We start from the raw sequence: 24,721 nt of genomic DNA, 5'->3' as shown, positions 1-24,721 counted from the left end.
CACACACACACACACACACACACACACACACACACACACACACACACACGAACCATTTCTGGCTTGCATTAAGGGCTTGTATTTACATAAGTCCACATTCAGGGCTCTGGCCTCCAGTTGGAAGATAAAGTGTATCTAATCCTTGGTTCTCAATCTAAAACATCGTAAAGTAGGTTTGCTCTCCCACCTTTCAAAATCTTGTGTTAAGCATTATACAGGAAAAGTCATTGTTCTAAATTGCTATTATCTTTAAGCAACGATTGGCCCAGATGCTGTTCTGGGGGCAGCAAGGTGTGGCCAAGAATCCCGAAGCAGCAATTGAGTGGTACGCCAAGGGCGCCCTGGAGACGGAGGATCCTGCGTTAATCTATGACTATGCCATTGTGCTATTCAAGGTAAGAATCACTTAATTCGTGCTGAAATTGTGCAATTCTTATCAGACTCCTGAGCAGTTTCCTGTGGGCGGGCTGGCAAACAGGGAGTCGATAACTGAAGAAATTTAGTATATGCTTCTGTCACTCTTGATGGAAAAGAATGTTGGCTAAAAAGGCAGAGTCAGAAGCAGTTCCCTGTTCTCATTTTTAATCATTAGTCTTATGTTTGGCACCTGGATTCTCTGTGCTTTCGCAAGAACCACGGCATTCTGGAGGAGACACCCGTATTTTATTGATTGGCGCTCAGCCGCCAGCCCCCACAGGCACTGCAAGTTTGCCACCAGGCAGAGTTCTCTTTTAATTACAGCTTAAACATAGTGTGTAATTGGGCTGGATCCCAACAATCCTGCTGATGAAAATAAAGATCTTGGTTTTAAGCCAACAGGAGAGGGGTGGGAAGAGCCTAGGAGACAAGCGTGAAAGTCCCACCTCTGCAACCATCAGGTATGTCCTTGGAGTCACCTCATCTCATGGGACAGTGGCAATGACCACAAATTGAGTGAGATAATAGGACCAATGAACTTTGGGGACCATAAAATGCCGTGTTCTTTATACAAAATAGTATGGCCTGGCGCGGTGGCTCACACCTGTAATCCCAGCACTTTGGGAGGCCAAGGCAGGTGGATCACCTAAGGTCAGGAGTTCAAGACAAGCCTGGCCAACATGGTGAAACCCCGTCTCTACTAAAAATACAAAAATTAGCCAGGTGTGGTGGCTGTGCCTGTAATCCCAGCTACCTGGGAGGCTGAGGCAGGAAAACTGCTTGAACCTGGGAGGCAGAGGTTGCAGTGAGCCAAGATCGTGCCACTGCACTCCAGCCTGAGTGAGAGAGCCACACTCCATCTCAGAAAAAAAAAATTAGTAATAGTTCACACTGATTGAGTGGTTGTTACCTGCTTTGCATGTATTAGTGCATTAAATCCTCACAACCAACTTACGAGGTTGGTACCTTGGTGTATTATGATTGCTGTTCATTTACATGGAGACAAAGGCACAGAGAAAGGTTTTGTAATTTGCCCAAGGTCACCCAACTGGTATGTTTCTGACCTGGGACTGGGATCTAGGAAATCTGGCTTCACAGTCTGTGTTCATCATCCCCAAATACAGAGACATCAATTCATCAATCTTGGAAAAGTAAAAAGCTTTGGCTTTGGTAAGGAAATTCGTGGACTTATGTCCATATCCAAAGAAAGCAGCTGCCCCCAAAAAGCAAGCATCTTCAAACAAGGCCAGGCCCATCTCCAGAACACAGCTGTGGCCACTCAGTAATTAACCATGACTGTGGCTACATTTCTAACCCTCCCTACCCTATCAAAGCCTGAAAACCTATTGGTTGTTGTGGTTTCCAAATTGAGGTCCCAGACCTTCTCTTTCCAGTTGTCAAATAAACATAGAAATATTTTGAATCTGAGCCATATGTGAATGCATTCATGTGTTTGTTCAATAAGCATCCATTCCATTCAGGGCTGACCAATGCCAGGCTCTGGGCTAGATGGAGGGGCATATGGATGCATGAGTCACGTCCATGACCTCAGGGAGCTCATACACAGAGAGGAAGGCAGAGGACCTAGATCAATAAGCACAGAGGAGCAGCACCTGTCCACCAGAGTGGAGGCCGATCGCTGTCCAAAGATAAAGGCACAAATCAGACATTATCTCTGCCTACCAAGATCTCACAACCTACAGGGAGAGGCAAATCCAGAAATAAATGACTCTGGGAGTGATATAATGCCTTCTCTGGGTTTGCTTTCTCACACCGTAAGACTTTTTTGCAGAGAGGGGGGTTCTGCATTCTTTCTAAGTTTTGTCTGGGTGGGAGGAAGGAAGCCCTTTACTAGCATCTCAGGGAAGATTTCCGCCTGTGGCTAGAAGATATCCTCAAGTGTATTCTGTGTGAAAGAACCCCACGCTGAAAATGGGCTTTCCATATGCAAAGAACAGTACGTGCATTTGACTGTGTGGGGGCATTGGGCTTTATGCAAAGATGGTACCAAGATGGCAGCTGTGGTTCATTCCAGGTAGTTGAGTCCATCTTATCTTGCAGCCACATGAGGATAAAGCTTTGACTTTGACAGCAGCAACTGTCCTCCATCCATTCACTCAGTGGATAGTTACTGAGTACTTACGATGTACCAGGCTTCACATTTCTCTCATTTAACAACTTTTAATACTACTCAGATTCGTGTAGAGTACATCGTCTTTGTGCAAGAAAAGTCATCCCACTTTTGACTCAATAGCGGGTATAGTGTAAACATCCCTATTCTAGAGTGTGTGGGTTGTCATTGCAGCTCTAACTGTGAGACTTTAGCTAAGTCAACTGCTCTGGGCCCCCGTTTTATTTCTTCAAAACAAAAAAGAGTTGGAGAAGATAAACTTATTATACTTCAACCAGGCGCTAACGTTCAGTGATTCTGGTCTTTCTGATGCTTTTCCAGAAGTCCAGAAAGCTTGTCTCCTCCCCTCTCCAGTTACTCCAAGTGTCCTTCTATGTCCTTTTCCCTCTCCTCTTCCTCCCTAATTAAATGAAGCAGTGGTGCCATTCTGAAAAATATTTTCATCTTCCACTTTGCTTCAGTTCATTGGTTTTATTAAATAAGCAAGTTAAAGTCAAGTAGAAACTTGGCATATGTAATTTAACCTTTAGTTGGATTCAGTTTTATTTGGGGTCCTGAAAGATACACAGTCAAGCATATCCTGCATGGTTCCTGGATCCTACAAGGAGGTTATGAACTGAAATAGGCAGAAGAAAATAGAGAGCGGTGGTTACAAGCTTGGATTCTGGAGTCCATTTGTCTGGATTCAAATTCTGCCCCCATTTCCCATTGTGTGACTAAGGGCATATTTCTCAGATGAGAATAACAGCAGCACCTCAGGTAGAGTTGATGAAGCACTTAGACAGTGCTTGGCCAACGTTAATTCACACAGGAACGGTAACTAGCGCTGTTTCCATTTACTATAGAGCTAAGCGTTTAAATAGAGTTTGTAGATGTGTTTGTTGCAAAACCCTCTCCCATCCAAATCACAGGCGATCCTGTCAACTGTTGTCTGAGTCCAGGAGGACCCCATGTGGCACATGGGGATTGGGGGTATCAGTAATTCTGAGTTTGGAAGCAGCAGTGGTTTACAGTCACCTCCACCCCCTTGCCTGGCATCTTTGCTTTCAGATCTATGTCAAGAGATACTCAAGGACCTCCTTCCACTCTACCCTTGAGCACACCATCTCCCCAGTTGTCCTCCAGACATTTCAGTGTGTTCCACAGAGTTTCTCTCTTATGACAAGAACCCCAAAGCCCATGTCTCTCTGTAGTGGACAAACCACCTCATCTGGAAAATCTTGATTTTGCTGGAAGAACCTTGTTAGTTTCTGTTAGTTACATCTGAGGCAACCAATTCTGCTGCCTTCTATCTTCTGTGGAGCCAGTTCTTGAGCTGATTCTGAAGCAACAATGTTCCACCCTGGAGATCCCAGCCAAGGCTGATGAAGCCTGCAAGCGACAACCTGGTAACTCTTGACTGTCCAACACAGATAAAGTGCTTTTTCTGGCTGGCAAATTAGGTAATCCCAAGAGGAAAGCATCCAGGATGACCAAACTCATTTAACCTGATTCATATCTTCCCCCAGTAGTACCTGTGGATTGACAGGGTTGCAACTGACACAGCGATTACTGCTAAGCTGCGAAGTTGAGGTTTGTTGCTTCTGCTCCACAAATATAAGCAAAATAATAATGATGATGATAATGAAATAGCACTACCTATAGAAATCCCTAAGCTTGGGTTTAAATGAAGAAAGTTAGGGTTTTATTTTTAAGTATTTTATATCCAACACTAAAGTGTCTGTATGTGTGCAGTCTGGTTGTATTTTCTTTGTAATCATCGCTGTTTATCAATGTTTAGGGTCAAGGAGTAAAAAAGAACAGACGGCTTGCCTTAGAGCTGATGAAGAAAGCAGCTTCCAAGGTAACACATGCATATTGTCAGAGGGAAACAGTTCCACCACACACTCCCACACGCTCTCGCACGTCTAAAAGAGGAAATGGCCAGCCTCTTCCTACAAAGCCCTAAGGTGGAAACGGGGTGGTGAGCAGTTGGTCGCCAGCACGGCACCCCCACTGCAGTGATTAGTCACTTTTTAGTTACAATACATACAGAAACTTGCCACAATGGGGGCAGCAAAATTCAAAAGCTGAATTCACCTTCCAGTCAATAGCATTCGGGTTGATTTTGTTTGAAGGCTAAAATTATAATCAGGAGCTGCCCTGATAACAAGCAGCAGGACCCCTGGAAATTGGATGGGTATTAATGCCATTGAATTCAGGAAACCAGAAGCCTAACTCCTTTGAAGGTTAACTCTGTGGTGCCCGTTTCCCATTTGTTTCCTGTGCATTGATAACAGGGCTGTTTATTAAGTTTATTGCTAGGTTTGGGAATTATTTTGCTTTTGTCACTACATTTAAGTGGTATCTTCAAGTCAGCTAGTTCCTATACAGCTCTACAGAATGGAGGTTACAATGTTGCTTTCGAGGGGCCCCCACCCACACATGCACATACATGCACACATATACATACACACATATGCCCAATGCATGCACAGCCACATGTGCACACTCATGTGTGCATGCATACCGATGTCCAAATAAATAGATTTGCAGAAACTACCGTAAATCTACACCTAGACAAGGCACCTTGTAGCCCTTTTGGCAGCTGGATGTGCCTCCCAAGGCTGCCAATATTTGCCTTAACGATGAAGACTCCTAAAATGACCATGCTGAATTTTCTTCCTCATTGTTGTCTCTTGAGGAGTTCAAAGTTGCATACAGCAGGAAGTTGTAGCATGGAATGAGAGACCTAAAAGATTGTTCCTCCATCTGTGTGTTGTCAAGAGGACACATGACCCAGGAAGAGGGAACCCCCTGATTTGTACTCCAACTCCTGACCCCAACAGAAACTCTAGGGCAGAAGTAGAAAAGTAACTTAATGGTAGTCATGGAAATCATTGGTTCCAGAGCACCCTAAAATGGGGCCATAAGGGGGCTTCTTGGAAGCTGTGAAATTTGCATCTCTGTAGCCATCCTAGTAGTGAATTGATGTCTAATGTGCTTTATTCTGTATCAATTTTAACAGAGCTTAGGTAAGTAATGAGGAAATACAGTTTTATTGATCTGGAATAGTCATGGCCTGAAAAGTGTTATATGATTCTCATTCTTCGCTGCCATCCCCTTCTGCTTCTGCTTCTCCCAGACCCTGAACCCACTGTCAGAACCATGCAAAGAGAGAGCACCTGTGCTGTGCAAGTAGGATGTTGCTGCTGCTTGCCATAGAGTGCGTGTTGGTGTTCAGGGCAGAGGAATCAACAGATGGGCAGGCGGATCACCTAGAAACCATCCCAGTCAGGGCAGGTTTCAGGCCTCAGTTGAGCGTTCATGAATTTCAAGGGCACTATTGATGCGGCAGGGCAATCAGAGGCCTTTTGTAGACAAGCGTGTTGCGTAAGAGCCCAAAGGAGCAGAACAATGATTTGGGGGATAACATTGCTGCAGAGATGGAAGGCAGAATCCCAGCAGCAGTCGGGTGAAACACACCTGGGAAGACTCTCAGGCAGGCTTGTGTTTTCTAGCACTTAGCTTTTCTTTAATGCCATCTGCTCCAAAATAAGAGAAAGGGAAGGTTTTGTTCAGACTTAGGCAGAATGCTTCCACAATAATTGCTTCCAGAGCTCTCTAGATTTCATTTTTCTAAAGTTAATTTCTTTCTTGTTCCAAAATTCAGGGATTGCATCAGGCAGTCAATGGCCTGGGATGGTATTACCACAAATTCAAGAAAAATTACGCCAAAGCAGCAAAGTACTGGTTAAAAGCAGAAGAAATGGGGAACCCAGATGCGTCATACAATCTTGGAGTCCTGCATTTGGATGGCATCTTCCCTGGAGTTCCTGGAAGGAATCAAGTGAGTAGGACTTGAGACCCACTCTGCAACTAGTCAGTCACTTGATCATGAAGCATTTGTTGAAGGTACACTGTGTGCACCAGACCCAACCCCAGACACAGTCCCTGTCCTCGAGGAGCTCAGAGGGTCTCGTAGGAAAACAAGATAGTGAAGAGGAAAGGGTGGCATCTAGCCAAGTGCCAAGTGTGTGGCAAATGGCATGACCCAAAGCTCTGGAGCTGGGAAACAGTGAAAGCCAAAGCAGCCAGGAAGGCTTCTTGGAGGAGGGAGGCTTGAGCTAGAGGGAAGAGTGGGAGATGACGCAGGACAGGAATAAGCGTGAGATGGAGCAGAGACTGATCTTGCTAGAAGCAAAGAGAACTAAGTCCAGATAGGATTGCCTGGTGTGAAACCAGTTTTAATAATAATGAAAACACAATGGCAATCTTTAGTGTTGATTAAGCATTTCCTCTGTGCCAAGCACCATGCAAAACACCCTACCATGTGCCCTCTTATGTAATCCTAATTCTCCTCTGAAATAGCTATTAATACTCTGGTTATGTCCATTTTTCAGACAAGTGACTGAGGTTCTGCGAAGTTAAGTAACGTAGGGTCACACACTTAGTGGAGTGAGGACCTGGCCTAGTGCACAGTGGAAGCCCACTCTATTAATAATAATGTTGATAATAAAAATCGTTAAAAATAAAAACGATTCTCATGCCTCAGCCTCTGGAGTAACTGGGATTACAGGCGTGCACCACCACGCCTGGTTAATTTTTGTATTTTTAGTAGAGATGAGGTTTTGCCATGTTGTCCAGGCTGGTCTTGAACTCCTGGCCTCAAGTGATCCGCCCACCTCCACCACCCAAAGTTCTGGGATTACAGGTGTGAGCCACTGTGCCTGGTCCTGAGCTCCGCTACATTTAACAAAATGTGGTGAATACCCACCCAGTGCCAGGCACCCTTCTGAACACTGAGGACATAGTAGCAGGCAAAACAGTCCCTGATCTTATGAAGCTTTCATTCCACCAGATGGAAAAGACAATAAACAAATAAATATATAATAGGAGGGGAGGTGAAGATCAGTGCTATGCAGAGAACTAAAACAAGTTCAGGAGGGCTGAGAGTGGTGGTTCACACCTGTAATCCCATCACTTTGGGAGGCTGAGGCAGGCAGATCACTTGAGCTCAGGAGTTCAAGACCAGCCTGGCCAACATTTTAAAACTCCGTCTCTAAAAATACAAACCCTCATCACTAAAAATACAGAAATTATCCAGGTGTGGTGGTGCATGCTTGTAATCTCAGGCACTCGAGAGGCTGAGGCAGGAGAATCACTGGAACCCCGGAGGCAGAGGTTGTAGTGAGCTAAGATTGTGCCACTGTACTCCAGCCTGAGCGACAGAGCAAGACTCCATCTCAAAAATATATATATATATAAAATATATATATATTATTTATATATATTTTATTTATGTGTATTTTATTTTTTATTTATATATAGTTTATATATAATTTTTTATTTATATATATTATTTATATATTTTATATATATGTAGGATGAGGGGGTGGAGATTGGGAAATGCTATTTTATAAGGGAAACCAGGGAACCAAGGAAGGCCTCTCTCATAAGGTGATATTGTATAGACTCCTAAAGGAATCTTACAGATATCTAGGAGAACATTCCAGAAGGAAGGAGCAGGCAGTGCAAAGGCCCTGAGAAGGAAGCAGGCTTGGTGTGCTAGAGGAGCAGCAGGGAGGCCAGGGGAGTGGAGTGGAAAGCAGAAGAGATGGAGAGGGTGGGAGATAGGACCAGGGAGGAAGCCGACCAGTCTGAGACTCAGTTTCTGCTCTGAATGAAATGGGAAACCACTGGGCAATGTTCAATGGGGCAACGATGGGCTGTATTTTAAAAGGTTCCTCCTGGATCCTGCCTACCGGAGACATGGACAGGAGCAGGGGGTTCATGCATTGGATCCAAGTGAGAGAGGGCAGTGGGCGAGACCAGGGCAGTGTCAGTGGAGGGGCTGAAACTGGGTTCTACATGTATTTGGAAGGTCGAGGCAGCAGGATTTGCTGAGGGGTTGAATGTGGGGTGTGAGAGGTGGAGAAGAGTCAGGGGTGACTCCAAGGTGTTTGGCATTTGTTGCGTTGGAAGAATGGAAGTGGCATTTATTGGGAGGAACAAGATTGTGGCAGCAGCAGATTTGGGGGTAGGAGGGGAAGAATTGGAAGATTATTCTTTTTGAAGCACTGTGCTAAACCTTGAGAATGTGTTATCTCATTTAATCCTTACAACAACCCTTCACTCTAGGTGCTATCTGAAGGCACATTTTTTAGTGGAAGGAAATTAGGTTTGGAGAGATTAACCAACATGCCCAAGTCCACACAGCTAGTAAGGAGCAGAGTTGGGATTTGAACCAAGCCTGCCTAACTTCAACACCCATGCTTTCAAAAAACAATAGCCAACTGCCTCAGAAAAATAAGAGTAATCTGTGGAAATATACCCATCTACATGTTTGTCTTATTTTTTCCCTCTACCTGTCTCTGATGACATAAGAGGCAGTATATTTTTATGCATAGCAAATGTGTGCTAACCCTCCCAAGACATCTGTGAGTGAAGATTTCTTATTGTCACATTCTAATTCTCACCTTCCTACTGGAAATGCAGTTTTCGCACATGAGTTTGAAGAAAGGTATTAAGCAGGGTTAGGAAAGCAAATGCCTGGATTTTCACCTGGTTTGACTTCTGATATAGTCTTCTATCTAGCCTTCAGGGGGTTATGTGAGGATCAAATGAGATGGCAATGGTATTCATAATTACATGTTGTCTTATTTATTGGGTAAACTTAATCAACAGAATAGATGAGGCAAGGTCATACATCTCAGAGGCTGACTTCTGTGATTGGCTGTCTTCCTGGAATTGTTGCTTGCCCTGGTTTTAAAGCTATCAGAAGTTATAAGCCTGTAATCATATCAGGCTTAAAGCATCTCATCACCTTGTCTCTGGCGAAACCAGCCCAGCTAGGATGACTCGATGTTTGTTCATCTCTTGTTACAGACTTTAGCTGGTGAATATTTCCATAAGGCTGCGCAAGGTGGACACATGGAAGGGACCTTGTGGTGTTCTCTCTACTATATCACAGGCAACCTGGAGACATTCCCTAGAGATCCTGAGAAAGCTGTTGTGTAAGACTCTGTCAAACGTTGCATTTGAAGGGAAAGCCATATCCTATATTCTCTGTGCCTGAGCATTTTTTAAGTTGAGTTCTTTATTTTTACCAGTTGTACATGCATGTAGTTTTAAAAGTCATGTAATTTGACAAGACAAAATTAAAACTTTTAATTAAAAATTTAAAAATAATTTGACAAAGGCTAAACAAGAAATCCTTGCCTACCTCACTTCATCCCACCCCTAGACTCTATTTTCTGCTCCCTAGAATGAATCACTTTCAATCTTTTTTGAAAGATTTATTTTATTTTATTTATTTTTTATTTGTCTCTATTTCTAAATAACATGCTTATACCACTATTTCTTGGTATTTTCATCCGAGGCATTGTCTAATGATGTCCCACTGCGAAGGATAAAGATGTAGTTTTCTTTGACTCTGCCACCTCCCACTACTCAGCTCACTCATACTTCCTGCCATCTTTCATCTTCCCAATAAGTATATCATTTTGGTTACATTAGTATCAGGGTTTACATTATTATGACCATGTAAATGCTATTTCTAACTGAACCATGTAGTATACTCTGATTACTTTTCCTTTCTTGCACAACTTTTTCTTTTCTATGGATTGCTACTTATTTTTTATTGTTTATTTGCTAAGCTTTCTGTATACTTATCATTTTCTATGTATTTGATCTCCAAATTCTCCTCCAGGTGCCTGAATTTCCTCTTGGTATGTCCAGACCTATCTAAATATTATATTAATTTAACCTTCTTGGTGACATCCATCCTGGAGTCTTTGTTCAGGACAATGCTGTCATGCTGAGATTAACTGTCATCATTATGGGTATTTACTTTCCCTCCATCTGTGTCTTTTTTGGTTCTCTTCTTTGTCAGACCCCTTTCTTTCTCTTTCTTGGTCTGCACTTAAATTTTGGTGGAGCACATCCAATAGTAGGTTCCTGAGGTATGGTGAATGGGAGGCACATTTTTGAGGTCTTGCAGATCTGAAAATGTTTTACAGGAGTTGTCAAACCATGACCCATAGATGAAATGTAGCTTGGTACCTGTTTTGTATGGCTCCAAGAGCTAAGAATGCTTTTTACATTCTTGAGGAGTTATAAAACAAATAAAGAAGAATATGCAACAGAGACTATATGTGGCCCACAAAGCTTAAGATATTTACTATCCTGCTCTTTACAGAAAAAGTTTGTCGACCTCTGTTTTAGGCCACCCTCACACTGATACCCTGGCTCTCCAAAAGATTGTTCTTCATAACACATTTGGGTTCAAATTCAACCTGACCTGACCTTGGTGATAAACTTGACTTAGACTGACTTGAAGTTTTTTATCATTGTTATTTAGTATATTTGACATGAATATTCATGTTTTGTGGATTTTCTGTTATCCTCTTGTTAATGATTTCTAGCTTAATTTCACTGTGATCAGAGAATATATTCTGAATGATTCCAATCCTTTGAAATTTGTCAAAGTGTGCTTTATGATTGGTATATGGTCAATTTTGGTATATGTTTTATGGCTTTTTGAAAAGAGTGCACTTTCTGAACTTGCTGGATCAACATCTACATATATATCAGTTACATCAAGTTTGTTAATTACATTATTCAGAGCCTCCCCATCCTTTCTGATGTTTCTTTTTCTGCTTGTTAGTTCAGTTACTGAAAGAAGTATATTAAAATCTCCAACTATATTTGTGGACTTACCTACCTCTCTTTTTAGTTCTGTCAATTTTGCATTATATATCTTGAATCTATGCTATTAGATCACATAGATTTAGAATTGTTTTGTCTTTGTAGTTGATCCCTTTATCATTTTACAATGTCTTCTTTATCTCTGTTGATGGTTCTTGCCTTAAAGTCTATTTTTTCTGATGATCATATAGTTATACCTGATTTTAATGTTAGAGTTTGTATGATTTATCTTTTTCCATTTTTTTGCTTTCAACTTTTCTTCATTCTTAAATGTCAATGCATGGCTCTTGTAAGCAGCATGTAATTGGGTATTTGTATTTTTTAATTTTTAAAATTTTGTATTTTTATTTTTTGTATTTTTAAATTTTCATCTTTAATTGGTGTATTTTGTCCATTTACATTTAATGTAATTATGGATATGTTTGGTTTTAAATATACCATTTTCCTGTTTATTTTCTATTTGTCACATCTGTGGGGGGGTTTTTGTGCCTTTTTTTAATCTCTTTTCTTACCCTTCCTTTGTATTAATCAAGTATTTAAAAAAATTATTCTACTTCCCCTTCTGTTAGCTTTTTAGTTATGCATTCTTAAACTATTATTTTAGTAGTTATAAATCTAAAGATTATAACAGACTAGCTCATTACTAATAAACCCCTAATAAATTAGAGAACAAAGCAAAATAGGGAAAGCTAATAATAAGTCAGTAAACATGACTTAATAGAGTACTAGAACTCTTGGTAGAGATTATATTTTTTCATATTGGTGGATATATTTCATTATGTATCTTACATGTCTTTGTTTCCATAAAAGACAACTCCTAATCATTCATAAGAAAGGGCACTAAATGAAAAGCTCTCAGAATGCATTTTCTTTACCTTAACATTCAGTTCTGGTTTGTTGCTCTATAAAAATTCTAACTAGCAAAATATTCCCCAAGTGGGATTTATTGAGAGCATATGAAGAAAAACATTTTATTAAATTTGCCATGGTTTGCGTATTTTCTCTTCCCTTTTTTTTTTCAGATGGGCAAAACATGTAGCTGAGAAAAATGGCTACTTGGGCCATGTCATCCGCAAAGGCCTCAATGCCTACCTGGAAGGTTCATGGTAAGCTTGGGATCCACGTTAGAGCAAACTTTTTTCCCTGTCTGTCAGTATAGTCTTATGAAATGGAGTCTTAAAATGCAACTGAGAAAGCAATTTGCAGGGAAATCACAGCTCCCAGTAATGATATTCAGAGTATCATGGACTGATTGGCTGTTGATTGGAAAACATAGCATTTCCATGTTTAATTATACACAAAAATTTGTTCTCTAGGGGAATTGTTCACACTCATCAAGTTGAGAAAGATATACAAATACATTGATTTCTCTTTCCTTTAAGCTTGCCCCTCTTGGTTTTAGAGTCTGGTCTGGAGACAGCATAGGGGATCTTAGGTGAGACTCTCTGCTTTTTATTTCCAGGCCACAGAAAGTCCAGAATTTCTACCTTGTTCCTAGCAAGAAGAGAGATCAGTGTTTAAGGTTCAGGCCACCTCTTCCATAGATGTTTTACTGCATCTGCCATGACTAGGAGCCTGGGATTGTTGGAAGTCCAGTATCCAATGGCACAAACAAACAGATGCCCTCCTTCCTAACCTTCTGGTGGAGTTAGCAAATCTCATCTTGTTCTTTATGGGATGAAACATGGTGTATGAGGACCCACAAATGTTCCCTGTTTGCTGTTACTCATAGATTTTACAAATAAGGGACCCCTCTCCTAACTTGACCAGTCTTCTTTCTTTTATTTTTTTCTATCAGTTCTAGCATTCCATTGTTGTTTTAACTTGGGTCACATTTTCTTGGCTGCTTTATTGCTTAAATGATGTGGATATTTCAGTAATAACTAAAAAAAGTCCTCAGTCCACTGCCTCAAAGACATTAGCTGAGACTCAGCATTGATCATACTCTGATTTGAACCTTAATTAAAAATTAAAGTGTAAGTTCAAAAGAATGACATTTTCCCTTTTAGTCCATGGCTGCACACGCAACCAACAGATAGCATCTCAATGAGTAAGAATCTTAAATTAGAAAGTGTAGGAGAAATGAGGCCAATGAAGAAAGCACCAAATGCAAATTTTTATTATCATCATCCTGTGAAAGTTTATTACCTGTGGCCTCACTTTGCACAATCAAAAAGAGATTTTTTTCAGAAAGTTACTGTTTCCCCATCGTAAATGTACCTTACAATTTTTGTGATGCTTTATCTTGTTTCTCAAGTGAACTTCAGTTCATAAAACTCCCAAATTTGACTTTAACTCATTCTCTGCTTCTCGCTTTCCCAACCTCCCACCCTCTGCTCCCTACAAACTTCTTAGGATGAACTAAACATTCAGATATCGGAGTGTTTATTTTTGGGGTTTTCCCAAAGGAAGAGCACTCCTGTAAACACTCCTCCCCAACCCACCCCTGCCCCCATGATGTCTGACACTGTTTTTCTCATAGAGTCTTTGTTAGTTCCTTAGCTTTCTTGCCTACTTTTGTTGTTTTGAAGCTTTTTTGAGATGAAGTCTCACTCTGTCACCCAGGCTAGGGTGCAGTGGCACGATCTTGGCTCACTGCAGCCTCCGCCTGCCGGGTTCAAGCAATTCTCCTGAGTAGCTGGGATTACAGGTGCCCACCACCACGCCCAGATAATTTTTGTATTTTTAGTAGAGAGGGTTTCTTCATGTTGGCCAGGCTGGTCTTGAACTCCTGACCTCAGGTGATTCACCACCTTGGCCTCCCAAAGTGTTGGGATTACAGGCATGAGCCACCTCACCTGGGCCCTGCTTTTGAATTTAATATCACAAAGCACTTTAGCATATTGTAAAAGCTGCTGCGAAGGCCTAGATGAATTAAGATTTCTGTGGCTTGTTCTCTTTCTTAATACTCAGCCTCATCATGGTTTTCTGTTTGGGTGGTTGGTTGGTTGATTGGTTGGTTGGTTGGTTGGGGGAAGGAGAAAGGAGACCTGAAGTGTGTCCTGTACCCTTTGTGAGTTTGGATTCAGTTCCGCAGATTTTACTGAGTACATTTAAATGCAGGTTGCCTGGCCACAGGTTTCGAGAGATGCCTCAAATAGGGCTTAGGGAAATTTGCTGCCTCATCTCTTCTGCAGGCAGGTTCTCATGTGGCCCATATTCTATCTGATCTCTGAGCCCTTGCGCTGGCTTTTTCCTCTGCCCCGGAATCCTACCTAACTCCTTATTTCCTTTTGTTCTTCCATGGATCATGATTGCTTTTTACATGTCAATTGCCTGATAACTTCTATCCCAGTTCCTTACACACTGGGGTGCCTGGAAAGTGTTTGGAAACTACTGATTGAATGAACTAAGGTGAATAGAGGGAACAATTATAGCTCAAGGGCCGTGAGCAGTATGTAAAGATCACTGGGGGTACTTAGGAGGAAAAGATGCCTGGTTTGGGAAGCTTGGGACAGCCTTCATGATAGAAGTAATGGATGAGGTGGTCTTGAAGGATGGGTGGAATTTCCACTTAGCCAGGCAGGGAACAGCATTTATGGTGTAGGGAATTGCAGGAACAAAAGCAAAGAGAGTCTACAAAATACTATGCCATGTGGGTAAAACTTGAGAGGGATATATAATGAAACCAAAGAGGTGCTACTTCATGGAATTTTGAATGGCAGATTATGCGTTTGTGAAGCAGTGGGGAGCCATCAATAGTTTTTTATTTAATTTATGAAGCAGTGGGGAGGCATTGATCATTTTGGAGAGCGTAGTTACATGACAGAGCCTGTTTCTTAGATGCTTATCAAACAGCTGTGTATGGTGAATAGAAGGGAGAGCCTGAAAGGGGAGTTAGTTCAAAAGGAGCCGAGCATTTGAACGGAAGATGTGGCATGAGTCAGTAGGGTGGCTTTTCTCTTCTTTTATCATGTAATCATTGATATGTATGAAGTATATATGATACATACATAACCTCCAAAGAGTGACAATAAAATGAACAGCCATAAAGCTATCACTCTACTTAAAAAAATAAACATGGCCAGTGCTAGTGAAGCCCCTGCTGTCCCTCCCAGATTAAATCCCATCCTACCCCCAGTACCCAGAAGTAACCATCATCCTAGCTTCTTGTTGATCTGCCCCTTGCCCTCTTTATATTTTTGCTATATATGAATATATTCCTAAGAAATGGATTTAGTTTGGCTTATTTCTGACCTTTATATGATTATAATTACTTTATATAACATATAATTCTTCAACTGCTTTTTTTTACTTAACATAATGCTCCTAAGATTCACACATCTTGCTGGGCGTGGTGGTGCACGCCTGTAATCCCAGCACTTTGGGAGGCCAAGGCGGGTGGATCATTTGAGGTCAGGAGTTTGAGACCAGCCTGACCAACATGGTGAAACCCCATCTCGACTAAAATACAAAAATTAGCCGGGTGTGATGGTATGCACCTGTAATCTCAGCTACTCGGGAGGCTGAGGCAGGAGAATTGCTTGAACCCAGGAGGTGGAGGTTGCAGTGAGCTGAGATTGAGCCACTGCATTCCAGCCTGGGCAACAGAGCAAGACTCCCTTTCAAAAAAAATAAATAAATAAATAAAAATAAGATTCACACATTTTGATGCATGTACCTGTAGCTCATTCATATTCACTGCTGTAACAGATCACAATTTATTTCCCAGTTCTCTTGTTAATGAATATTTGGATTCTCTTTCTTTTCTTTTTTTCTTTTCCTTCCTCTCTTTTCTTTCCCTTCTTTTTTTCTTTTCTTTTTTCTTTCTTTTCCTTTCCTTTTCCCTTCTGCCTTGCCTTGCCTTGCCTTTTCTTTCCTTTGTTTTTTAAGATCAATGCGGCCATGAGCATTTTTTATGTATCTCATAGGGCAAATAGAAAGAGTCGCCCTAGAATGTAAACTTAGGAGTGGGGACTCTAGGTCATAGGAGAACATGTTCAACTTACAAGACAATGTCAATTGTTTTCTTAAGTAGTTTCACCAATTTACTCTCTTGCCCACCATATATAAATTTCTATTTCTCCATATCTTTGCTAATCTTGATACAGAAGCTAATTATTTTTAAAGGTATGTCTCAGTCTGGATTTGAAACCTCTTAGTATCAACAGGAAGAAACGTTTTGTATCTATTACAATGAGGAAATCTTTTTCAAAAGATATTTGGGACAAAGTACTTCCATCCATTCCTGCTCTCCAAGCTTTCAAGCCCTCCCCAGGGGTTAAATAGGAAATGTATGTTTGCTGGCCTCCTCACCGTCCAACGTGACATTTTTTTGGTACCATCTATTCTGCTGTAATAGAACTAAATCATCCATCGATGTCCCAGTCCCTCCCCTTTTTTCATTTTTGTGTGAGTGAATTTATTCTAGAAGTTATTTTCAAATTACATGTGTCAGTTTGATGAGCTTGTGCTTTTCTATGTTGTTCCAAGATTTATATGGGATAGTTTAAAAGAGGAGCATGATTAAGGAAAGGGCTTTTTGCTATATCAGCGTAATACAGAAGATAATGTTGTCATGCCTGAGGCTGTCCTCGGACACTCGAAGAAGTTAGCCAAGGAAAGACCAGCTGTCATGTTTCATTTCTCTCTGCCTTACCCCTACATGTGTTTTATCTATTTTATCTGCAAGCTACATGTTTTATTGTCCTTTGTCTTAAGTATACCAAAAACACTTAACCCAGGAGGTTAGCCAGATTATAGTGGGCTTGAGGCAAGGCAAGTAAGCATACATAGCTCCAGGTGAAAGAAATTCACCTTTTTGCAATAGAGCTGGGGTCCTGAATTCCACTGAGACCCCAGGAATTTTTTTTTCATCCTTATAGTCTGAGCTGCTTCAGCCATTGGCAGAAAAGAGCACGTGCAAAATAATATAATTGTGGAGAAACTGCTCAGGGGTACTCAAATTTGTAATTCACAGCAAGCAGCCAAAGGATTGATTATTAAGATGTATCATTATAAAAGTTCTAGAAATGCATTTGCTGGGTCTGAAAGGAGGATAGCAAATGTGTCCTTAAATTCTTTCTTTTCTCTCAATCCCTTCCTCTCTGCACCCATTCCCCTCTCCCTGTCAAAATGGCTGTCTAAGGGACAATTTTACTTGAGTGCATTGGAAATAAAGCTTGAAGCTCTGGTTGACTTTCTAAAGCTTGAGGAAATTCAAGGAAGGACAATAGTTTTGCAGCTTGTCTTTGGGTTTCCTGCAATTAAAAAATGCTGAGTAAATGTTTGTTCTATGAATGTAAGTGTAGGAATATCTGGAATTAATACTTTCAGATAGCGTCTGTTGAAACACAAGTAGGAGCAAAGTGCTAGAAGGCTAAATATGGTCAGGGTTTCTGCAGAGGCATTGTCTCAGAAGTTTTAATAAGCTGTTGAAACACAGTTAAGCAAGAGCAAAGTGCTGGAAGGCTAAATGTGGACAGGGTTTCTGCAGAGGCATTGTCTCAGAAGTTTTAATAAGCTAAAGAAATCTGGTCTTGAGTGGCTAGCCCCCACCTAGAGCTCACTGCTCAGTAGATGTGAACATGGATGGTGGTGGTACACGCATTGGGTGATTGATTGTGCAAGATGAAAAATAGAGGTGGATTTCTTTTTTTCTTTTTTTTCTTTTCTTTTCTTTTCTTTTTTTTTTTTTTTTTTTGAGACAGAGTCTCACTCTGTTGCCCAGGCTGGAGTACAGTGGTGCAATCTCGGCTCACTGCAACCTCCGCCTCCTGGGTTCAAATGATTCTCCTGCCTCAGCCTCCCAAGTAGCTGGGATTACAGGCGCCCACCACCAAGTCCAGCTAATTTTTATATTTTTAGCAGAGACAGGGTTTCACAATGTTGGCCAGGCTGGTCTTGAACTCCTGACCTCAAGTGATCTACCTGCCTTGGCCTCCCAAAGTGCTAGGATTACAGGCATGAGCCACTGTGCTCGGCCCAGAGGTAGATTTCTGTTCAGTGTTTCTATGGATCTCACATGCCTTTTTAGACATCTCTTTCTGATGGATTTCAGTGTTTCCTCAATGGAAATGTTTGAGAATTCTGTAACACTTCCTCCTGGTTTACACAATGATTGGACGATAGAAGTCTATAAAACTTGTTCCTCCCTTCCTTCCCCACCACCAGATCACTTTAGACACAAGATATTATCTTTATAAAGCTTATCATTGTGAATGTTCTTGCAGAGAGTATCAACCTCCATCTCCCCCACCCATTCTGACAACCAGCCTATTGGTTTCTGCAGTTAAGAAAAAATTCTTTTTTTTTAGAGACAGAATCTGGCTCTATCGCCCAGGCTGCAGTGCAGTTGCACAGTCTCGGCTCACTGCAACCTCCACCTTTCGTGTTCGAGCGATTCTCCTGCTTCAGCCTCCCGAGTGGCTGGGATTACAGGCATGCACCACCATGCCGAGCTAATTTTTTTGTGTTTTAGTAGAGACAGGGTTTCTACTGTTGCCCAGGCTGGTCTTGAACTCCAGAGCTCAAGCGATCTTCCCGCCTCACCCTCCCAAAGTTCTGGGATTACAGGCATGAGCAACCACACGCCTGGCCAGAAAAAACCTCATTTTGTTACATTTTAGTAAACACGAGCCACATCCCAGCCAGTTACGGTTAGAGGGCACTGGTCCAATATTTGACCTTGGTTTGCAGGTCTACACTGTCTCCTTTCCTCATCAATCCCTGGTGGAAACTGAGACACCAGTGCAGGCCAGAGTGTCTCTAAAGAAACTTGAGAATTCTAAGACCTTAGGAAGAGGACCTTGTGTCAGAATGAGGGGGACTTTCTGCTGGGCCTCCCTTGCATGCCCTCTGTCTGGGGCCTTGGGTCTGCTCTGAGGATTCTTGTAGCCAAACATAGATTTTGCAGGCTATGTTAGCTAATCCCCAAGCATCCTTTGGGACGTTGTTGCAGCTGCACTTGGAGGCTTGTTATCTGGCTTGCCTCTGCAAGGGATGCTGCTTAGCTGACTTTGTCCCTCTTTAGCCTGAGTCATGGCTAATTGGTCAGCTGCCTTAGGTATCTCAGAGCCTGCGAATTGGCTCCCTCAGCAGCCACGTGGCCTGTGACCTGCAGCATGTCTGACTGAAGGTCTAACTATCCTAATTTGTCCCCCAGCACCTCTCGGTCTCCAAGGGATTGCCTGCCAGAAGCTGCTTTTAGCAGTTTAGAAAAGATAATTTCAGAATCTGCTTCCCTTACTCCCCCTCACCGAACCTTTCCCCACCGTTTCCTAAACCAGTTCCTAGGTGGAGCTAAAATTAAAAAAGAGTTATTAATATCAACTCCTTAAAATGAAAAATAAGATGTAAGAAACTACTTCTGGATAAAATAGAGTTTTACTCTTAAGCTAGGTAACGTATAAAAATTGAGGAAATCAGATAAGTAAAAAGAATAGAATAAAAATTACCTGCATTCTCACCACCCAGAAATAAGTATTGTTAGCATTTTAGTGATAATTTTTAGGGTTTTTTTTTTCTCTGCTTATTTGTATCTGCATGTATATGTGTGTGCATGTGTGTGTTCAGTTATATTTTTGTTTTGCAAAAATAAGATGCATTGTTTTATACTCTGCTTTTTTTTTCACTGAATGGAAATTTTTGCATAAATATTTTGCTATGTTTTTGAATACCCTGCCACACATCATTTTAATGGCCACATCTGAAAGTGGCTGCACTATGGGTTAATTTCACTAGTCTCTGATTTTCAGACATTTGTTTCCAGTTTTTTGTTGCTATTCATATACACAGCTCTACCATGAACTCCGTGGCAACAGAATCTTTGCACATATCTCTGATTGTTTCTTTAGAATAAACCCCCACAAGGGAGAACTGTAGGGCCACATGGTATGTACATTCTTAAGACTCCTCCCGCCTGTCCTTCCAGAACCGTTGAATTAATTGGCCCTCAAGCTGGCAGTAGTTGTAGAGTATGTCCATTCCCCCAAGCTTTTGCCATTATTCCAAATATGAATCTTGTACCAATCTTTCAACAGATGAAAAGTGGTCACTCATTTTGGGATTATTTGATTGCTAGTGGTGTCAAACGTTTCTTTTCTCATACGTGTTTTGGCCATTGATGTATCAACTCCCTTGTGAACTGCCTTTCCTTTGCCAAACTTCTAATGCACAACAAAAGCTCAGCTTTAATTAAGCTTGTTCAGAATCTTAAGCCCTATAAAGCTTTTTATAAAACAGAGGACTCCAAAGCACAGGGGTTTTTCTTAACACCATTTATCTCCTCTAAGCGAGGATGCAAGAAGGATTCAAGAACTGAAGGCTAGTAGACAACTCCCCAGCCAACATCCGACATGCCCTTCAGCCAGTAGAGGTAGCTGTTGCATCAACTAGCTCCCCAGCCTTGTCTGTGAGTTCAGCCTTTAAGACAGAAAATAAATCAGTGCATGCAGTATTTTTAACAATATTTATTTTTAAAAAAACTCACGATTTTGTGGTTTTTTTAAAAAAACTGCTTATTTTGTGCCCTCTTATGTTTGAATGTAAAGCTCTCTGTGAATATTAGTAAGAGCCACTATATGAAATTTATTATTAATCATCTATTTTTAGGCATGAAGCTTTGCTGTATTATGTTTTAGCAGCAGAAACTGGAATTGAAGTGTCACAGACAAATTTAGCACACATCTGTGAGGAGAGGCCAGTAAGTAAATGTATTCTTCTCAGAGTAGAAGCTCTGAGGTTAAGGATAATGAATTGGGTTTTATGGAGGCAACGTTGGTCACTTGGCCGAAATATTAATGAATTAACTTTTTCTTCCCTTTACCCCTTAGGACCTGGCCAGGAGATACTTGGGTGTTAACTGTGTTTGGAGATACTATAATTTCTCTGTTTTTCAAATCGATGCTCCTTCCTTTGGTATGTATAGAAAAACGGTGCAAAATTGAAGCATTAGGTGTTTTTAATCTTTAGTAACAGGGAACATCTGACAGCTTTGTGTGAAGTGAGGTATTTCTAAATAATTAGAAAAGAAAGTGAAAAATCTCTGCTATTAAGATCGCTAAACTCTGCTCTCAGCCTCACACAATGCACTACTCCTCACCCATTGTCCCGTGGAGTGCTTGGACCCAACATTTCTTATTTTTTGATTTTTATTTTTGGAGACAGTCTCACTCTGTTCCCCGGGCTGGAGTGCAGTGGAATGATCTGGGCTCAGTGCAACCTCCACCTCCCAGGTTCAGGTGATTCTCCTGCCCGAGTAGCTGGGATTTCAGGTGCCCACGACCACGCCCAGCTAATTTTTGTATTTTTTAAGTAGACATAGGGTTTCACCATGTTGGCCAGGCTGGTCTCAAACTCCTGACCTCAGGTGATCCACCTGCCTTGGCCTCCCAAAGTGCTGGGGTTACAGGCGTGAGCCACTGCACCTGGCCCCCAACATTTCTTCTGAGTCAATGAAAATGTAAAAGAGAACGCTATTATGGAGCAATTCTCTGGGCCAGTCATTTGTGCGGATTCCTCTACGCTGCTCTGCATGGTGGGGGACTGGCCTCCAGGAACTACAGTTCCTGGACTCCTCTACCCACCGGCTTCTGATTCCTTTCAGGCAATAAGAGGCACTGGCAGAAGATTGCAGGATGGGAGAAGAAGTCCAAGTACTTCTACCTTTGTCTCTCTGCTTTGGACTGTGTCTCTGGCAGTGGCTACATTTCCATGGTTCCAGCCCCTGCCTGGCAGCTCCACCCTCTTTGATCTCAGCACCAGGCTCTGGGTCTCTGGTAACATCACAGGCACCCTCTGGTCCCCAAGTCCTGGGGATGATAGTAGCCTTCTCACTGCTGATCTCTGGGCTGCCTATTGTTTTCCATTTGCCTTTTCAGCTCTCCCAACATCCTAGTAACTACTTCCCCATGATGAAATTCCTCTTTTGAACCACTTGAAACGGGTTCTGTTTTCCTTATTGGACATTGACTAATACATACACCCTTTTTTTTTTTTTTTTTGAGATGGAGTCTTGCTGTGTCGCCTAGGCTGGAGTGCAATGGTGCTATCTCGGCTCACTGCAACCTCTGCCTCCCAGGTTCAAGCGATTCTCCTGCCTCAGCCTCCTGAGTAGATGTGATTACAGGAACGCACCACCATTCCTGGCTAATTTCTGTATTTTTTAGTAGAGGTGGGATTTCACCATGTTAGCCAGGCTGGTCTTGAACTCCTGACCTGCAGTGATCTGCACACCTTAGCCTCCAAAAGTGCTGGAATTACAGGTGTGAGCTACGGCACTCAGCCGATACATATACTCTTAAACACAAGTTTTTCTTCAGAGGAAAAATAAAATACATGGCTAAAGCAAAGAGTTACCAAAAACAGACATCAAAGATGAACAGCAAAATTTCAGATGTGAAGTAAAACACCCAAAACAACCTTGGCTGATTTGGGCAGCAAGGTTGTAGACTGAGATTTAGCTATTCAGGAGAGCTACCTGGCCAAATAAGAAACTGTCTAGAGTCCAGGCACGGTGGCTCACACCTGTAATCCCAGCACCTTGGGAGGCTGAGGTGGGAGGATTGCTTGAGTCCAGGAGTTCGAGAGCAGCCAGGACAACATGGTGAAACCCCGTCTCTATAAAAAATACAAAAATTAGCCGGGCGTGGTGGCACACTCCTGTAATCCCAGCTACATGGGAGGCTGAGGTGGAAGGATCACTTGAGCCCAGGAAGTCAAGGCTGCAGTGAGCCCTGATCTCACCGCTGTATTCCAGCCTAGGCAGCGGAGACCCTATCGCAAAAAATTTAGAAAAAAAAGAAAAAAAATATGTCTAGAAATAGGGATGCTCTGGGCAAAAAGCCTTTTTGCTTGTTTCTCTCTTGACACATCAGGGAAACATAAAGATGTTCTGTATTCAGATACTAATAGGAAAAACTTGCATTCATGTGAATGCGCCAATAATTTAAAATGTTGGTATAAAAAAAACCACTTGACAAATGGATCTGTGCTTTATTTCCTGCAGCATATTTGAAGATGGGAGACCTTTACTACTATGGCCACCAAAACCAGTCACAAGACCTGGAGTTGTCTGTGCAGATGTACGCCCAAGCCGCCCTGGATGGAGACTCCCAGGTAAACAGCAACCGCAACAAAAACCAGCTCTTGGCCGGGCACGGTGGCTCATGCCTGTAATCCCAGCCCTTTGGGAGGCCGACGGGGGCGGGTCACTTGAGGTCAGGAATTCGGGACCAGCCTGAGCAACATGGCGAAACCCCATCTCTACAAAAATACAAAAATTAGCTGGGTGTGGTGGTGCTCGCCTGTAGTCCCAGCTACTTGGGAGACTGAAGCAGGAGGATTGCTTGAGTCTGTCAAGTCAAGGCTGCAGCAAGCCGTGATCACACCATTGCACTCCAGCCTGGGTGACAGAGCAAGACCCTGTCTCAGAAAAAAACTCAGCTCTTGGTGACATCCATTTGTGAATTTGCAAAACCAGAATTCTTCCTAACCGTCCTTTCAGTGTGTATACACTACACAGTTTACAAAGCCATTGTTCATCCATTTTCACATGCCCCTCAAACAACTCTATGAGGACACTAACAATAAGGGTGAGCCTTTATTAAACACCTACTGTGTCCCCCACGCCATTCTCACATAATCCTGTGGGGGTGCGGATTATTATACCCTATTTATAATCAAAGATAATGAACTGTTCAAGACCAAATAATCAAATGGTAAGCAAAATGCCCAGCTCCTAAACCTGGATCTTTGGCTCCAAACAGAAGGGTGTTTCTACCAAATTACATCAAACTCACTCACCAGGTAGAAACTCAAGAAATTAGCAGTGCATCCACAGTAGGAAGTGTTTTGCTTGTACTGTTGGGCTTTGCTTAAGCGACAGAGTTTTTCCCTCAGTGATTTTTTTTGGAAACTTCTTATTTGAAAATAATGTTAGATTTGTAGAAAAGTTGCAAAAAGAGGTGAGAGTTTCTGTATACCCTTCATTCAGCTTCCCCTAATGTTCACATCTGACATAACTGCAATGCCATTGTCAAACTAAGATATTAATGTTGGGACAGTATTATTAACTACACTTCAGACTTCATGTAGATTTCACCAGTTTTTCCACTAATATCCTTCTTCTGTTCCAGGATTCAATCCAGGATCCCACATTAGATTGAGTTGTATATTTCTTTCCAATCTTCTCCAATCTATGACAGTTCCTCAGTCTTTTCTCATCTTCATGACTCTTGATACTTGAAGAATGCTTGTTAGGTACCTTGTAGAATGTCTGTTGATTTGGGTCTGTCTTCTGTTTTCTCTTGAATAGATTGAGGTTATACATTTTGGGCAAGAATTTTGCCTATTACGATTATTACCATGCTGTTCTAACGATGATTCTCAATTTCCCTTATTCCTTCTACATTTGCTACTTGGAATCCTCTTTTGAGAACCTCAGAATCATTTTCATGATGGAGGTTTGGATAGTTGTTACCCTCTGCTGCAACGTATTTCTGGTGTTGTGCTTTACAGTCTGACCACTGAGCAAAAACTGGAAAC

General features: G+C 41.8%; 1 protein-coding gene across 9 annotated transcripts in view; it reads left to right on the top strand.

Annotated features, from left to right (window-relative positions):
- The window catches only part of SEL1L3 (SEL1L family member 3), a 149,603-nt gene that overhangs the window by 74,948 nt on the left and 49,934 nt on the right, over positions 1 to 24,721 (top strand). For all 9 annotated transcript variants that reach the window (XR_007096387.1, XR_007096388.1, XR_001741182.3 and 6 more), the window contains exons 13-20: positions 255 to 395; positions 4,329 to 4,391; positions 6,201 to 6,377; positions 9,416 to 9,543; positions 12,259 to 12,342; positions 20,789 to 20,879; positions 21,010 to 21,094; positions 23,184 to 23,293. Coding sequence is in view for 5 of the 9 variants with exons in the window: in NM_001297592.2 (NP_001284521.1) it covers positions 255 to 395; positions 4,329 to 4,391; positions 6,201 to 6,377; positions 9,416 to 9,543; positions 12,259 to 12,342; positions 20,789 to 20,879; positions 21,010 to 21,094; positions 23,184 to 23,293 (879 nt within the window). In the remaining 4 variants the exon portion in view is untranslated. The remainder of the gene's footprint in view (positions 1 to 254; positions 396 to 4,328; positions 4,392 to 6,200; positions 6,378 to 9,415; positions 9,544 to 12,258; positions 12,343 to 20,788; positions 20,880 to 21,009; positions 21,095 to 23,183; positions 23,294 to 24,721) is intronic.

The sequence above is a fragment of the Homo sapiens genome, chromosome 4, assembly GCF_000001405.40.
Source record: "Homo sapiens chromosome 4, GRCh38.p14 Primary Assembly".
In the NCBI taxonomy this organism is placed as follows: Eukaryota; Metazoa; Chordata; class Mammalia; order Primates; family Hominidae; genus Homo; species Homo sapiens.
The sequence above is the reverse complement of the archived record's forward strand: the minus strand, read 5'-3'. Positions and strand labels throughout refer to the sequence as shown.